Consider the following 17,852-nt stretch of genomic DNA (forward strand, 5'->3'; position numbering starts at 1 on the left):
CAGCCTCAAACCCCGAGGCTCAAGCGATCCTCCCACTTCAGCCTTCGGAGTAGCTGGGACTACAGGTACGCACCACCACACCTGGCTAATTTTTTTTTTTTTTTTTGAGACGGAGTCTCGCTCCATTGCCGGGCTGAAGTGCAGTGGTGCAATCGCGGCTTACTGCAACCCCCGCCTCCTGGGTTCAAGCAATTCTCCTGCCTCAGCCTCCTGAGTAGCTGGGACTACAGGTGCGTGCCACCATGCCCAGCTAATTTTTGTATTCTTAGTAGAGATGGTGTTTCACCATGTTGGCCAGGCTGGTCTTCAACTCCTGACCTCAGGTGATCCACCTGCTTTGGCCTCCCCAGGTGTTGGGATTACAGTCATGAGCCACCGTGCCTGGCCTGCCTGGCTAATTTTTAAAATTTTTTGTAGAGGTGGGGGTGTTACTATGTTGTTCAGGCTGGTCTTGAACTCATGAGCTCAAGTGATCCTCCTGCCCAGGCCTCCCAAAGCACTGGGATTACAGGCCTGAGCCACCATGCTGGGACTGTACATCTTTCTGTATAGCTCTGACTATCATAAACACGGTAACAGCCCATATATCCACCTCCCCAAATAAATAATTAAAATCACCCAGGATGTGGGGGAACCCCAAATGGAATATGAAGAATGGTAGATGAAACTAAGTGCATTAAATGAATAACATAATCACACTGAAGTAAGTGGGGAAGGAAAGAACTAACTTGAGTATCCTTGGAAAATAGTATTTTGACTATAAACTGTAAGATGAAAGACCAAAAATCTGGATAGAAATATTGTACTCTAATTAGTAAATTTGTTTCTTGGGGAGATGGGTTTGCAATTCTTAAAGTACTTTATGTGTACACATTACTATGATTGAACAAATAAGAAAATATATTGTGGATAATGAGAGCCAGGTTTCCCACTGTCAGAGAAAAATTTACAAATAAGGAAAGAGGGGAAGGCTAAGAATGAACTTTGTGTTGGATTAAAATGGAAGGTATCAGTATAAATTCATGGTTTTATATACACATACACACACAGATATTTTTAGAAATAAATGCAGACGTGTGAGAGTATGTTAATATACACACATATTTCCTGTCTTTCTGGGCTGAGAAGACCTGGAAGAAATGACGACCCAGGAACATTGGGCATACCTAAGAAACAGATATTGGTTTCTTTTCTTTTCCTTTCTTTTCTTTCTTTCTTTCTTTCTTTCTTTATTTTTGTGAGATGGAGTCTCACTCTGTGGCCCAGGCTGGAGTACAGTGACACAATCTTGGCTCACTGCAACCTCTGCCTCCCAAGTTCAAGTGAGTCTCTTGCCTCAGCCTCCCAAGTAGCTGGGATTACAGGTGCGCACCACCACACCTGGCTAATTTTTTTGTATTTTTAGTAGACATGGGGTTTTGCCATGTTGGCCAGGATGGTCTAGAACTCCTGACCTCATGTGATCTGCCTGCCTTGGCCTCCCAAAGTGCTGGGATTACAGGTGTGAGCCACCATGCCCAGCCCAGATCTTGGTTTCTAAATATCATTCTCCATTAAAAGAAACCAAGGCTCCTTGGAAAATGATTGCTTCTGTGTCTGGGGCAGGGAAAGTAGAAAATTAGTCTAGAACATCTTCTAGCACCAGAAAATAAGGAAATAAAGAATTGTTCAAAAGACAATACAGGCATTTTTGGAAGGACACAGAAATCAACTTGAAAGATCGCCAATAGACCAATCTGGGAAAATTTGAGCCAAAAAAAAAAAAAGTTAGTTTTTGGTTATAACCAATAGGATTCCTAAAATAAACATCCATACATTCATACTGATATAAATAATCAAATAAATAAATGAAGGGGGAGAAGGCACAACTCTTCTTTACAAGTAGAATTTAAATGAATAAATGTAGAAAAAATGTTAAAAATATTATGGAAAGTCACCATTAGGCAAACACCAAAGCAATCATTGTTGCAGGCAAGAACCATCTACTGATAACTAAAGTTGCTCGACAAAAGTATGATTACAAACAGGGTTTTTCATAGTCTCAAAGTATCTCCCACAATGTGCTTATTAATTACAAAGAAAATAAAGTTACTTTATAATGGAGAAACCTGGCAGATACTACCTTAACTAAAAGATCACATTTAACATTACCAGTAATAAAATATATTGATGTGTACCCCGTAACATGATGTACTGGCAAAAGCACAATGTTGCTTCAATGGTATGCTTGCCAAAAACACATAACCTCAATTTATCATGAGAAATATCAGGCAAACTCAAATTAAGAGACATTGCACAAAAGAACTGACTAGTATTTATCAAAAGTGTCAATGTCATGGAAGACAAAGATAAAAGAAAAACTGAGGAACTGTCACTGATTGGAAACTAGGGACATGACAACTAAATGCAATGTGAGATCCTGGACCAGAAGAAGGAAGTTAGTGGGAAAATGGAAGAAATCAGAATAAACTTCGTAGATTGGTCAATTGTATTATAATTTCGTGGTTTCAATAATTTTACTATGTTATATTTTATACTTAACAAATACATGTGCATTTTACAAATACAAGTACACTACATTTGCAAATACCACTTTGTATTTACATAAAATAAAAAATTCTATTTCTCTATTAGATATTAACATTAGAGAAATCTGAGTGAAGGGCATATGAGAATTATCTGTACAATGTTTGCCACTTTTCTATAAGTCTAAAATTATTCAAAATAAAAGTTAAAGGCAATTAGATAAATTAGCACATAATTTTCAGCTTTTAGGAGTAAATAATACTCAAGAACTGAAATTTTAAAAACTACTGAGAAAGCAATGATATTTAATTTAATTTTTGGCCTGTTACAGTATATTTTAATCCAATTTACATTTTCTTTAAAGTATTTTCTATGTAGCAGAGTAGCACAGTAGAAGCATGCTGGGCCCATAAAGTATTTTCTTATGACAACATAATCTGGCAGAGCTGGTAAGCTTAACATGCTTTCTGGCATGCCAATTTTTTTCTAAAATCCTGTGTCTTGCTGTTAACATACAGTTCAACATGTTAATGGGCATTAAGGAAAAGTTAAGAGATATAAGAAAAATATACAGGTTACTTATATGACCTTTAAATTGTTGTTAGAGACCAAAGTAAATTTATTATTATTTTTAAAAAGTTATTAAGTATTATCTTTGTTTACCCTGACTTCATTTAATTTTAAGACACTAAAATTGTTTTCCATATTTGCGTTTTTGCATGTGCCCAACTATACTCCTAGATATATAAGCTAGTTCTCTTTTCTCAGCTGTGTAGGGATCTAGTTACAAATCCTCTGGAGAAAACTGGATGAGGGAGTTGTGTGGAGAAATTGAATTCTCTGATCCTTTCCTAAGCTAGTGAAAGGCCTTCTTGAGTTTTTAATACTTCAGCCTTAGATTGCAGTGTAGATGCAGCTGATGTGCTTGGAGTGCTCCATACAAAAAATATCCTTTTTTTCCTGAACTGGAGGGGTAGCCTGACAGCACTACTGGCATTTTAAAAACAACTTTAAACAAAGCAGAGGAAGATGGGATTTTTAATACTTGGAATTAGGTCCTTTACTTGCAGTAAAATGCAGAAAAACTAAATAGAATATAAGTTCATGTGGATTCATGTGAGTAACTGGCTTCAACAGGGAAGAGAATATTTAGTCAATTAAAAAAATCCAGAGAAAAAATGGAAATGATTGCTGTGATTGGCAGGAGGAACTACTATCTGATATTAGTTGTTTTTATTCCTTTTGAGTTCCTGTGCTTTATTTCTGGGATACTGTTAAGAAAAAGAAAAAGGAAGTTGGCAAGATACCAAATATTTCATACTAACCAGCAGCTTAAAATGGTTGCTTTCAATAATTTTGAAGAGTTAAATGGTGTGATGTTTTCATTTTATGTAGGAAGGAAGGGATTGCTATGAACAAAGCATGTTGTGCCTCTGAGGAATTGTGAGGCTCAAGCATGTACCAAAACAAGGTTGGTCATTATTCTTGTGAATGCTGAGATATTTGATGATGTTTCAAATATCTGAAATTATTGAAGGTGCATTTTCTATTAGCCCGGTTAGTTATTTTTCAGATATCCAAATTTTGGAAAGTCATTTGGTATACTTGCAAGGGCATATCACTTACCCTGAAGAGTGTGGTAGCTGTGCAACATGGCAACATAAAACCTTTCTTAGATAACATTGCCTGTAACTTTGAATGTGTTTGTACACTCTTTCAGTAGCATGTATTACACTGTGTTGAAATGGCCTGTTTGCTTGACCATCTTCTTAATTGGATGGTAAACCCCTGGAGAGCAGACACTGACTTCTGTTCACCATGTATCTCTAGATGTTGAGGACCCAACATTCCAAAATGAGATTCAATAATTACCTGAAGAATGAATGAGTGAATGAATCTCATTCTCTACTATAGATTCTGATTTGAACAGAAGGCAAAGGAAAATGGTGATGACCATGCTGTTTTGCATTATTGCCAGCTTTATATTAGAGGGACCTATTTCTCCATCATGGCAGCGTCTTCCTCAAAGTAGTTCCAAGTATTCAGGAGTCCTTTCAAATTTCTGCTTTCTTAGGGTAAACTCCTTACCAGTTATTTGCCAATGCTCTTGCTTCAGGGTTCCTTAAGCATCATTGCCATCCTTTCAGCTTTGTTTAGGGGCTATAAGGTAAAATGTAACAACTCAAATACAGTTTAAAACCAATGTCAAATTAACAAAAGTGTCTATAACTGGTCTACAAAGTTTGCCAATTTCTCCCTGCTTAACACATTATTTAGTATTCAACAATAGAAATCACATATCCAGATGTGTCTTGCCCATTTGTATACAGTCTTTTTTTTTTTTTTTTTTTTTTTTTGAGATGGAGTCTCCCTCTGTCGCCCAGGCTGGAGTGCAGTGGCGCGATCTCTGCTCACCGCAAGCTCTGCCTCCGGGGTTCACGCCATTCTCCTGCCTCATCCTCCTGAGTAGCTGGGACTACAGGCGCCCGCCACCACGCCTGGCTAATTTTTTGTATTTTTAGTAGAGATGGGGTTTCATCGTATTAGCCAGGATGGTCTCGATCTCCTGACCTCGTGACCCCCCCGCCTTGGCCTCCCAAAGTGCTGGGATTACAGGTGTGAGCCACCGCGCCTAGCCGGTGTTGTTGTTCTGTCTGCACATGTTCTCTCATTATTACCATAAGAGTGAATCTCTGCCATGGAACATCAAACATGGAGCTGGTTTGAAATAGCCTGTCAGCAGTATAATTAATAGACTGTCTATTATGCAAGACCTGGATGCAGACAGATTAGAGCACTTGCTATATTAGTCATTTTTAAAGAAGTTCTACCCAGTGTGACAAAAACACCCTTTTTCCCCAAATGGTAAAAGTGGCATAAAAATATTCCAGGAAGTTTAGATGGCAGCAAAAAATAAAAATAAAAATCCCATGTTGCCTTGATATAACAGTGTTATCACATTTGAGAAATCCCATCCAGTTTTTTTATATACATGCTTTTTTGCATTCTTGTATTCACAAGAAAATACATTTTACATTCTGCTGTTTTTCCTTAACATTGCATCATTTACATTTTTCATGCTATTGCATGGATTTCATACATATTAATTATAGCTTCAGAAAGAAAGTATATCCTTGTTAGCCAGATCTGGAAGCACAACATACACCAAAGGATGAGGCAATTGTGTGTGTGTGTTTTCCTTTATCTTATAAATATTAAATTTATTGCTATGGTGATTTGGTGTTGACTATTTTTGTTAGCATTGTTTAGTGTTAATTATATTTACGTGAAAGAAAGTAGTTACTTTCACATATATATAATACTTCCATTGAAGGCATCTTCAGTTCTCTTCCTCTTGATTAACCCAATCATCTGAATTCCCCCTCCTACCCACCCCAGGGGTGGTAATTAATGCATCATTATATTTTACTACTTCTTTCATAGAAATGAAAAATATTAAAAGGCTTAGATGATTTGTCTAAGTTTTATTTATTTATTTATATATATTTTTGGAGACAGAGTCTCGCTCCGTTCCCCAGGCTGGGATGCAATGGCATGACCTTGGCTCATTGCAACCTCCACCTCCCAGGTTCAAGCAATTCTCCTGCCTCAGCCTCCCAAGTAGCTGGGATTACAGACATGTGCCACCACGCCTGGCTAATTTTTTGTATTTTTAATAGAGACAGGGTTTCACCATGTTGGCCAGCCTGGTCTTGAACTCATGACCTCAGGCAATCCTCCGGCCTCGGCCTCCCAAAGTGCTGGGATTACAGGCGTGACGTACCGCACCTGGCTTGTCTAAGTTTTAAAACGAGTATCCACAGTACAGCACTCTAATTCTTACTGTGGACAGCAGTACTATGGTTTTGGCTGTCAAGCATATATATGCTTATATATGTCAAGCAAATATATATATATATATATATATATATATATATATATATATATATATATATATATAGTTTTGTTTTGTTTTGTTTTTTTTTTCTGAGACAGGGTCTCACTCTGCCTCCCCGGCTGGAATGCAGTGGTGCAATCACAGCTCACTGCAGCCTCAGGCTCAAGCAGATCCTCCCGCCAGGTGCATACCACCACGCCGGGCTAATTTTGGTATTTTTTGTAAAGATGGGGTTTCACTATGTTGCCCAGGCTGGTCTGAAACCTGCCTCAACCTCCCAAAGTGCAGGGATTACAGGCGTGAGCCACTTCGCCTGACCTCAAGCATATTTTCTCCCATTTTCCTTCTTGTCACAGGCCACATTTCCCCCTGGCCTGGTAAATCATTCAGCCCATTCACTTGGACAAAGTACTTAATCCAGAGTGAGACCATGCAAGCAAGGACAATTATAATTCTTCCCTGAAATGAATACAGCATAAGGAAGTTGGAAGAGAGTAACTCTCTTTACTGTTGGGTTGCCAAGCCTGGAAGATGTCAAGTTGGTGCTGCTGGCTGCTATTTTTCCTGCCATCTGAGAGAAGGCATGTCTTCAGTTAAAAAGAATAAAGCTGAACAGAGATGAGAGATAGAGAGCTGAAGGACTAAGGTATTGGTTCCTAGAACCCTCCATTCTGTTCTGTGAATTATTTCTGTATCTTTTCTTCCACTATGGAGCAATAAAATTAAACTTTCTTAAGCTGAGTTCTATTGTGTATTTTTTTTTATAACTTGCAACCAGAAAAGTCCTAATACAGTTCCTGTAACTGTAGATAAGACATTACCACCAGCAGCAAAGAGCAGGCAATAGATAGAGTAAAAAGATTCAGCTCCCTACAATATGGTAAAGCTATGAAAATGAGGCAACATATAGGCTCAAGGTGGAAGAATATTTTGGAAATTTAGCATCCTAATATCTTTTGAAAAGCAGTTAATATTTGAATAATCTAGGTCCACTACAATCAATATTGCAGGTATTTCCCAAAGCATGGTCAAATATGCCATAGTTTATGTGACAGTGTGCTAGCCTAAAATAGGGGGTAAGAACAGAAAGCAAGAAAAAGGTAAGAATGTAACAGTCCTGAGTTGGTTATAATTTCTTAGGAATTATAAGGGGAGGAAAGGAGTTGAGGGATATAAGGATGAATGACTGTCACATTTATCTACCCTTTTAAAAATATCTTTGTAAACCTTATATATTAGATTGCTTATAGTTGTCTACAGTTTGTTTCTAAAGCAGTAAAGACTATTAACAGAGGAACTTAAGGCACTGAAGCATAACATTGTTACAGATATGGTTTGGATTCGTATCCCTGCTCAAATCTCATGTACAATTGGAGAAGAGGCCTGGTGGGAGGTGATGGGATCATGGGGGCAGATTTCCCCCTTGCTGTTCTCGTGATAGTGAGTTTTCACGAGATCTGATCCTTTAAAGGTGTGTGGCACTTCTCCCTTCTCTTTCTCTTCCTCCTGCTCCACCATGGCAAGACATGCTTGCTTCCCCTTTGCCTTCCACCATGATTGTAAGTTTCCTGAGGCCTCCCAGCCACGCTTCCTGTTCAGCCTGCAGACTGTGAATCAATTAAACCTCTTTTCTTTATAGATTACCCAGTCTCAGGTAGTTCTTTATAGCAGTGTGAGAATGAACTAATACAGTTATTTTAGTGTTTTTAACTGTATTAACACTCTATTTGGGTTGATTGATTTAACTATAGTTAATTCTGTTGATGAGGTATGAGGGAGTAATTTGATAAAAAGGTCTGAATTTATATATTGTTCTTAAGTAAATAGTAATTTTAAAGGAATCATAGACAAAAATGTTTCCTTGCTGACACCTTTTTAAAAATAAAACGTTTACCTTAAAAATATTAACATTCTGTCAGAGAAAATTAAAAGGTAGATAAAATATCTTAGTATTTTAATCTTAATAAAGTATATATTCATCATAATAACTGCTTATTTTCTTACATTTAATACAGTAACATAAAAGTCTAGATTAGGGACATGAAAATATTCTATAATAGTTTTGCAAGAAAGTGATTTTATTAGGGCAAACAATAAGACTGTTAATGTCATGCATTGATATTTTATTTAAAAAATTGTGTAATTATTTTTTTAGTAACATATGGATTCCCCAGCACTTTTGTTTTATAACCTCATTCTTAAAAATTCTGGTGGCTTGTTTTCTTGTATTTCCCTCAATTGTGGTGATCTTAAACAGATCTTCAGTTTTAAATCTGCCGTTCGTTCTAATACAGATGCGTAAATATATTTTCTCCAGTTGGCTATTTATTACAAAGACAGTTTATTTGTGGGCACCATAAAGACATCTGCATTTTACTGAACTTAATTTTTAGTAATAAAGACCTCCCACATTACAGATTCTTTCCAGCCTAAATGTGCCTGTGTGGGAAGCAAAAGAACCATCAGTCAGGGGGAAAAAGTGAATCCATATGGTGCTGATGATTCTGCTTCCCTGGCTAAAATGAAGAAAGAGTTGAGTATCGACAATGCCCCCGGCACATCTCTGTTTTTTTCTAAAAAGCATGCTGCTATGGCTTGAATATTTGTGTCCCTCAACAACTCATATGTTGAAACTCAATTGCCACTATGGTAGTATTAAGAAGAGGTGGGGAATTTAGGAGGTAATTAGGTCAAGAGGGCTCTGCCCTTATGTATGGGATTAGTGTCCTTATAAAAGAGGCCCAAGGGAGTTTATTTGCCCCTTTTGCCCTTCTGCCATGTGAGGACATGTACAAGGTGCTATCTGTGAGAACTGGGACCCCCAAGACACTGAATCTGCTGGTGCCTTGATCATGGACTTTCCAACCTCCGAAAGTCAGGGCAGTATATTTCTGTTTATAAATTATCCAGACTAAGATATTTTGTTATAGCAGCCCTAATGGACTAAGGCACTTGCCATAATAAAGATGATTGGTGTCAGTCCCAAACCAGTACCTTCCAGCCAGCTCAGTTCATGCATGTATCATGCATCAAGCCATGGGTACTTAACTTAAATTTTAAGGGCACATTCTACTTTGCCTCTAATCTTGCTCTGTTTCTCTTGCATCTGTGTCCAGTCTCTGGCTCTTTCCAGTCTCTTCCACTTTGGGGCTCACTTCTACCCTTTGGATATGTTTGATTTTGGTTTCCCCAGTTGAATCTTCATTACTCTCTAGGGACTTTGGCTCAAGTTCTCACACAGGCCCTATGATATGGAGAAATCTTAAACTTCAAATCTGTCAAAAAGTAGTCAAAATATTGTGTCTTCAGCTTTATAAAAATGACAAACCAAAATTAATAATAGAACTTAAAGTGATGATATGTCTTCTTCATTATTACAGTTATACATAATTCTCCACTGTGAGGAGAACAGACAGGGCCTGAAAGCTTTTCTTTTGATTGATAACAAAGTATCTGGAACAGCTCATTTCTCTTGGTCAATAATACCTATGGGATGAGGAGGAAATTGGATCTCATGTATTCTTTACTATCAGTGTTACCTCTCTCTGCACAAACAAGAAAAACCTATTAATATTATCTTCCCTGTATTTCTACTATTCACAGCTGCTTGTCAACTCTGAATTTCAGCTATAGAGAAGACACTACTTCCTAAGACGCTGCTGTGTTTATGTCAATGTAAATTATTGGGTAAATTTAAATGCTGTTTAAGAAGCTTCCTTTTGCTGAGGGAGATGAAAATATGACTTAACCTTAAAAAAATTATGGGGCTGGGCACAGTGGCTCACGCCTGTAATTCCAGCACTTTGTGAAGCCAAGGCGGGCGGATCATGAGGTCAGGAGTTCGAGACCAGCCTGGCCAACATGGTGAAACCCGGTCTCTACTAAAAATACAAAAATTAGCCGGGCATGGTGGCACGCACCTGTAATCTCAGCTATTTGGGAGGCCAAGGCAGGAGAATCGCTTGAACCTGGAAGGTGGAGGTTGCAGTGGGCCGAGATCACGCCACTGCACTCCAGCCTAGGTGACAGAGCAAGACTCCATCTCAAAAAAAAAAAAAAAAAAAAAGAAAAGAAAAGAAAAGAAATCATGTTAAGATGAGGTCCTGCTGGATTAGGGTGGGGGTCCCTAACACAATGACTGGTGTTATTTCTCAAGAAGAGAGAAATTTGAACACATTGACACACAGGGGGAATGCCGTGTGATGTGGTGGCAGAGATTGGAGTGATGTATCTACAAGCCAAAGTACATGGAAGATTGCCGGCAACCCCCTTCTCTGGAGCCTTGCAAGACAGCATGGCCCTGCTGACACCTTGATTTCAGACTTCTAGCCTCCAGAATTGTGAGAATGAATTTCTGTTGTTTAGCCAACCAGTTTGTGGTAATCTGGCAGCTCTAGGAAACCAACCACGCTAGTTAAGGAGGCAGAATGAACAGTAATAGAGATCTACGGATATAAAGAATGGAAATATAGCTTTCTAAATGTCATGGACAGTAATTCTTAGAATACAGGTTTCCTCTGCAAAAACCTAGTAAGCTGTCTGACTTTTTGATTTACTGTGTGATTTAAAATGAGTTACCTCACCTCTCTGAACTTGTTTCTCATCAGTGAAGGGGGCTTTGGGTTACCAGCTCTGAAGCCTGTCCCACTTGTAATACCACCAATCTGTAATGCATATGATTTTTCTTTAATTGTGTAATTTAAGAAGCTATTAGGTTAAGACAAAGTTACTCAGGGAATTTAGTTTCTCCTCTTCCTGCCCCGTTCACCCCCGAAAGGTGAGAAGTGTGTGAAACTAAAGTATCTTATTCTCCAAGCTGAGCATCATTTCGGGTGTATGGAGTTGAAGGACAAATTACCTTCTGGCTTAGGCGCTGCTCAAGCCTCCTTTCTGCCAAGCATGTTTGAATAAACAACAACAACAAAAAACACTAATGTCTATCCACGGACTAATCAACCCAGCAATATAATGGAATAGAGGGAATTCATGCAGCCTTGAATCTGGTCCTTGGAGGACTGCCTGGGCAGGCAGTTTAAACTCCTTAAGCCTATATTCTTATCCGTAAAATGGCGATAATATTATTACTTTAATGGGTTGTTGAGAAGACGAAGTCAAATAGAATATATGTGTATATATATGTATATATGTGTATATATGTACATGTGTACATATATACGTGTATATATTATATATGTGTGTATGTGTGTGTGTATATATGTATATATGTGTGTGTAGATATAGGTATATAAGTGCCTGGTATCCAGTGGGCGTTTACAAATGTTACTCGGTTACAAAATTCTGGCTTACAGAAAGGACGCTAAAAATCTCCCAGATTCCCCTGCCAGTCCCCTGGGTGGGAGACGAGTCGGGTACTTCGCTTCCACCTGCGGGCCCCCAGCGCAGAGCCTGGAATTGGCTGGACGGAGCTAGCCGCGCCGGCGCCCCGTAGGACGGCGCGGGGGCGGGGCCGGCGGAAGCGCTCGAGTGCCGTTGTCGGCTGCGCCGGAAGTCCCTAGCCAGGCCTGGCGGTAACCTTGGGGGCCTCACTGCAGCCGCCGCTGCTGTTGGAGTGGGCTTTGCGAGTCTGAACGTTGGCGGGGCTAGGCTCGTTAACTGCCGAGAGCCTCCGGGTTTGCGGTGGAGGACGCTGAGGCCCGTGGGGGGCAGGCACCCGGGCGCCGGGCCTCCCAGCCGACATGTCTCTAGTGGCGGAAGCCTTCGTCTCCCAGATTGCAGGTAGCGCGGCTGGCCGCAGACCCAGAAGGTGGCGGCGCGGTCTCGGGGAGCCGCGTGGGGTACAGGGCTGGAGCTTTCCTCCAGCCTTGCGGCATTATACGCTGAACCCGGCCCGGATGGTGGAGGCGGGCACGGACTACCAACCTTATCTCACATATGGGAAAACTGAGAAGGAGACACTTGGCCAAGGTCACCCCGCAGGAGCAGGAGTCCCGTCTCCTTCCCTTGGGCGGTACTTTGTCCCACCTCCCCATTCAGTTGGGAGGTGCTGGAGTATGAGGGGGAGGCCTTGGATTGGGATTGAGGTGGGGGGCGTTACCACAGGGGCAAGCATCTGAACGCTTCAGTCTAAGAGTGGTGGCAGTTTCTGGGTCTTGGTACTCAAAAAGTTTAAGGTGACTGTCACTAATCAGTTGTTACCTATTGTTGAGGGAACACCAGACTTCTTGCTTCGTCTCCCAGCGACACAGTAGTGCCATTTGCTAAGACTCTAGGAGTTATTTATTTATTTATTTGTTGAGACGGAGTTTCTCTTTTGTCACCGAGGCTGGAGTGCAGTGGCACAACCTGGGCTCACTGCAACCTCCGCTTCCCGGGTTCAAGCGATTCTCCTGCCTTAGCCTCCCGAGTAGTTGGGATTACAGGCGCCCGCCACCACGCCCGCGCGGATTCATGGAAAATTTTTAAATCTGCATGTACTTTAAAGAAATACTTTTGAGTCGGTGGACTGAACATGACTGATGTATATAGGTTTGTAATTTCTCTTATTGAGGTTTTTATTTATTGTAATGAAAGAAATTAAATATTGTTGAGAAAGTGAGGAGACTAAACATAGGTACTTTGAGATAGAGGCTAATGGAATTAGTCATAACTCCCTAGCAGTGTTTTCAACATGAGTACAGTAATGAAGACAGTCACCACAATAAATAGGTACATTTGAAGTAATAAGATAGTATTTTGGAAATGGGAAGTACAGAATGTGTCATAAAATTTGCCGGAATGTTTTTCACTGCTTTGCGTTTGTGTGAACGTACATTTCTTTTTTTTCCTTCTTCACTTAAAAACATTATTTTTTAGAGGAGAGAAGCTCCTACTAGATTGCAAGCTTCCTGAAAGTAGGGATCAAACTTGTTTTGTTCCCCATTGTATCCATAGTCAGTTGGTGCTCAATAAATATTTGCGACCCAAATCAATGACTAATCTTGAGATTTCAAGCAATGATTATTTCTGCTTTTACCATTTATGTTGAAACAAAATCAGGCTTATATAGTTAGATCAGCGATTTAATTTAGTTTGCTACTATGTTGAAAAAAAAAACTTCACAGTGTATGTTGAGTGGTTCACTGTGTGCATGTGTCCTAATATGTGATTTCTTTTAATGAGAAAATGATGAATGTCTTTTAATAAACTTTGGATACTGCTTTAAGTAGTGACGTTTAAAAATTTCTAGGCATTTTGTCTGTCTGCCGTCTTAGCTATTTGTAGTGATCTGTTACTCTAGGAGGAAGCATTTAAAAATGGATAATTCAATAAATGGTGTTGGAACAACTACTAAGTCATTACACCACATGAATAAATTCCAGATTGATTAAAGATCTAAATATAAAACAACAAAATTGTAATAAAATAATTAGAGGAAAACATAGATTATTTTAATAATCCTTGGATAGCAGAAGAGGCCTAAGCAAAACTTAAGAATTCATAATCCATAAGAGAAGAAATTGGCAGATTTGATTGCCGAAAAAATTTTAAAACTTTGATAAAAGACATCTCAAGTTAGTACAAATAAGAAGACAAACCAACAGAATCAAGGACAAAGGATTGGAACAGGCATTTCACAAAAGGGTGAAATATAGATGGACAGTGAACAGATGAAAAGATGTTCTCTGTCCCTAATAATGTATAGCATCCTCCCACCCCTGCCATCAGATGGACAAAAGTGAATATGATTTCTAGTACTAATAGGGCATGGGGAAAAGTTACTCTCAAACTATTGGGTCTGTAAGTTAGTATTACTTTTTGGGAACGTAATGTAGCAATATTTATTAAAATGACATTCTCTGGCCTGAAAATTCTACTTATGGGGGTTTATCTGATAGAAATGTAAAGACCAGTACTTAAAGAAATACACAATGATATTAATTGCAGCATTATTTGTAATAGCGAAAAACTAGAAATGTTTTAAATATATGTCAAATTATTGTACACCAATCCACCAATTCCACTTCTGGGCATGTATCCAAAGGAATTGAAATTGTCTAAGAGGTATGTGCAGTCCCATGTTCATTGCAGCAGTATTCACAATAGCCAAGATATGGAAGCAACCCAGGTGTTTATCAGTGGATGAATGGATAAAGAAAATGTATATAAGATACAATGGAATACTATTCAGCCTTAAAAAAGAAGGAAACCCTATCATTTGTGATAAAATGGATGGATCTGGAGGACATTATGCTAAATGAAATAAGCTAGACATAGAAAGACAAGTAGTGATCTAAAATCTAATCTTTTTGGGGAAATCTAAGAAAGTTGATCTCCTAGAAACAGAATAGAAAGGTGGTTACCAGAGGCTGAGGGGGACAGAGGTGAGAGATGGGGAAGAGGAATGGAGAAGAGATGTTGATCAAAGGGAACAAAGTTTGTTAGACTAGAAGAAAAAGTTTTAGTGATCTATTGCACTGCAAGGTGACCACAGTTAATAATAATGTATTATATATTTCAAAATTGCTAAAGGCTTAGATTTATAATTTTCTTACAAAAATTTAAGTTGGTGCGGTGATGGATATATTAATTACCTTGATTTATTCTTTCTATTCTTTGATTTATTTAGTTCAAAATATCACGTTGTACCTCCTAAATGTACAGTTATTATTTGTCAAAAACATTTATACAAAAATTATGGTATGGTCACATTTTTACAGATCCAAAAATGAAGAAGTATATCTGTTAAATACGTTGTCTTGAAAGCTATGGTTATATTAAGTAAAAAGTTATAAAATAATATCTATTTTGTATGAACTCATGAAATCTATATAAACATACATATGTTTATATATGTTAAGAATATTCAACTAATTGTAACTAGCGATTGGGATAATAAAGATAGATTGTTGGTAGAGGGTGGAGGAACTATATTTCTGAATTGTTTGAATTACTATAGTGAGCATAGTTTACTTTTGTAATTTAAATGATTGTAATTGTTAAAATTTATAAGATTATGTTTTGCCAAGAAGTGAAAACAGGAGGCTGCCTTAATCTGTTTTGTGTTGCTATAACAGAATACCACAGACTAGGTAAGTTACAAAGAAAAAAAATTCAAGTCTCACATTTTGGGAGGCAACGAACTCCAGCTTCAAGGTGCCGGTATCTGATGCGAGCCTTTGTGCTGCATTATCCTGTGGCAGAAGGTGGAAAGGCCAGGGAGGGCAAGAGCCAGGGACTGAGAGGGCTGAACTTGCTTTTACAACAACCTACTCTTGGGATAAAGAGATGAATCCATTCATGAGGGTGGAGCCCTCATGATCTAGTCATCTCTTAACAATCCCACCTGTTAATACTGTCAGAATGGTAATTCCATTTCAGCATGAGTTGTGAAGGGGATATTCAGACTATAGCAGTGGTTAAAGTAATAATTTATCGGAAACCCTGTGTTTGACTTGTAAATGACTTATAAATGTGACTCAAATCCAGCAACTATTCACAGTGTTCTGTTTCTGGTAGTACAGGTTGGAGTTATGTATCTATATAGATCTGTTATAACTTAAGTAATTATGAATCTGTTTTTGTAGTTGAGAGCTCTAATTTTTAGTGTATCCAACACTTTGCTTATTACCTTTCCTTCCTGTGGACATGAGCTAACACTGATTATTTCTTTTGGAAACATTTAAAGATATCTGGCATCTCTCTGTGGTATTCTTGAAGTGACTTCTTTGAGATCCTTATTCATAAGGATATCTTTTTAGAAGTCTTCTCTGAACTCCCCAGTTTAAGTGAACTGCTTCTATCTCCTTACTACCAGTATTTCCCTTGCCAACTTTTCTCAGTTATCGTTCCTAAATAGGACTTATTCTGTCCATTTCTACTGCTGTTACCTTAGTTCAAAGCTTTGTCATTTTTTGCTTAGATAACCATAGTAGTCTCTGAATTGATTTCTCTGCTTCCAGTCTGGCTTCCTTCCAGTAGAGTCCATACACTGCAAGCCTCAGTGGGTTTTTTGTTTGTTTTGTTTTATTTTAATTTTCCTTAAAAAAAAAAAAACCTCCTCTTGTTTTAACATTTTGTTGGTTTCTCATTGTCAGTAGGACAGCCTCATGTCTTGTCACTTCTTTCCTTGCCCCTTGCCTGAGATGTGCACTTTGCTTGAATAACTCCTGTTCATCCTTTAAGACTCTGGGCACCGTTTTAACCATTTAATGTAAGTCTACCTGACATTTTTTTCCTGTCAAATGAGAAAGGTTTGTTGTCTAGTTTTTTTTTCCTGATAATGATAATGATATGTTGCCATTATGGAAAATGAAAACAATCCAGAGATAAAGTAAAAATTACCTGAAATCATACCACACAGATTAAGACTTTAAAATTCCATCCATCATTAAAACTTTGATGAGCAAAGCTATTTCATTCTCTTTCCCTGAATTAAAAAAATCGACATATAATATGCATAATTTTTTGTAACCTGTTTTGTCATATATTGGGATCTCTTTTCATGTCTGTGAATGGAATTACACATCATCATTTTAAAATGGTTATGTAGTATTTCATTGTAATGAAGAAGCCAAAATTTACTTAAGTAGTATTACTCGGATGGGTATTTAGAGAGTTGTTATCAGTCAGTTCAACCAGAGAAGCAGAAGTACCAGGATATCTATTTCTCTCTCGAGCCACACACACACATGCATGTATGTGCATACACAAACACATGGCAAAGAATTGGCTCTTAATGTGGAGGCTGGCAAAGTAAGTGCAAAGCATGCAAGGCGGGCAGTCAGGAGCCGGGGGAGATCCAGGACTAAGCACTGGCAAGACCAGGTACTACCTGGAGTGTCTGATCCCAGGGAGGACTTAGACCCTTTTTTAAAGGGCTTTCAACTGATAAAATCAGGCCACTTAGGATACTCTCCCTTTTGATTAATGTAAAGCTAACTAAGTAGGGACTTTAATTATATCAGCAGAATCTCTTTATGGCAGCACCTAGATTAGGGTTAGAAAAGCTAGGAGGAAGTGTGTGTCTGCTACAAAATGACGTTGCCTCTCTTCTCTTCCCAACACCTGGCGGAGAATATCCCTTGTAGCCCACTTTAGAGACATAGTAGAAAGGGAATTTTGGCAAGTGTATTCAGTGTAGGTAAGCTGATGTGTCCCAAAGCCATCACACGTGTGTGTGATTTTTGTCTGTTGTAAGCAGTGCTTACGTAAACATATTTATGCATCTGTTCAGTAGTTTTTTGGAATATATTTTTTAAAGTGGAAGATAATTTTGAACTGTTCTTTTAGCTTAATATGGAAAGAAATGGTAAGTTATGCTTTTGAATGAATAGTTGTTTCTCTAGATGATGATGTGCTGGATTTAGAATTTTTTTTTTTTTTGAGGTGGCATTTTACTCTTGTCACCCAGGCTGGAGGGCAGTGGCACAACCTTGGCTCACTGCAACCTCCACCTCCCAGGTTCAAGTTATTCTCCTGCCTCAGCCTC

General features: G+C 38.6%; 1 protein-coding gene across 5 annotated transcripts in view, besides 3 other annotated features; it reads left to right on the forward strand.

Moving 5' to 3' along the window:
* Positions 11,574–12,201: an enhancer, noted in NCBI's record as "H3K27ac hESC enhancer chr2:177133811-177134438 (GRCh37/hg19 assembly coordinates)". NCBI's record gives its function as "activates a minimal SCP1, AML or CMV promoter by ChIP-STARR-seq in naive H9 embryonic stem cells {active_cell/tissue: H9 hESC(naive)}" and the evidence as "EXISTENCE:reporter gene assay evidence [ECO:0000049][PMID:30033119]".
* Positions 11,780–11,869: a silencer, noted in NCBI's record as "silent region_12135". NCBI's record gives its function as "represses an Ori minimal core promoter by ATAC-STARR-seq in GM12878 lymphoblastoid cells {active_cell/tissue: GM12878}" and the evidence as "EXISTENCE:reporter gene assay evidence [ECO:0000049][PMID:35858748]".
* MTX2 (metaxin 2) overlaps positions 11,933–17,852 on the forward strand; it is a 68,584-nt gene continuing 62,664 nt past the window's right edge. For 3 of the 5 annotated variants that reach the window (NM_006554.5, NM_001319098.2, NM_001319097.2), the window contains exon 1: positions 11,933–12,160. In NM_006554.5, the coding sequence (NP_006545.1) occupies positions 12,121–12,160 (40 nt within the window). In that variant the 5' untranslated portion in view covers positions 11,933–12,120. Of the gene's footprint in view, positions 12,161–12,704; positions 12,911–17,852 lie in introns of those variants that run through there. The other 2 variants (NM_001006635.3, XM_047442985.1) reach the window with 2 other exon arrangements.
* Positions 12,202–12,827: an enhancer, noted in NCBI's record as "H3K27ac hESC enhancer chr2:177134439-177135064 (GRCh37/hg19 assembly coordinates)". NCBI's record gives its function as "activates a minimal SCP1, AML or CMV promoter by ChIP-STARR-seq in naive H9 embryonic stem cells {active_cell/tissue: H9 hESC(naive)}" and the evidence as "EXISTENCE:reporter gene assay evidence [ECO:0000049][PMID:30033119]".

This window comes from Homo sapiens, chromosome 2 (genome assembly GCF_000001405.40).
Source record: "Homo sapiens chromosome 2, GRCh38.p14 Primary Assembly".
NCBI classification, from domain to species: domain Eukaryota; kingdom Metazoa; phylum Chordata; class Mammalia; order Primates; family Hominidae; genus Homo; species Homo sapiens.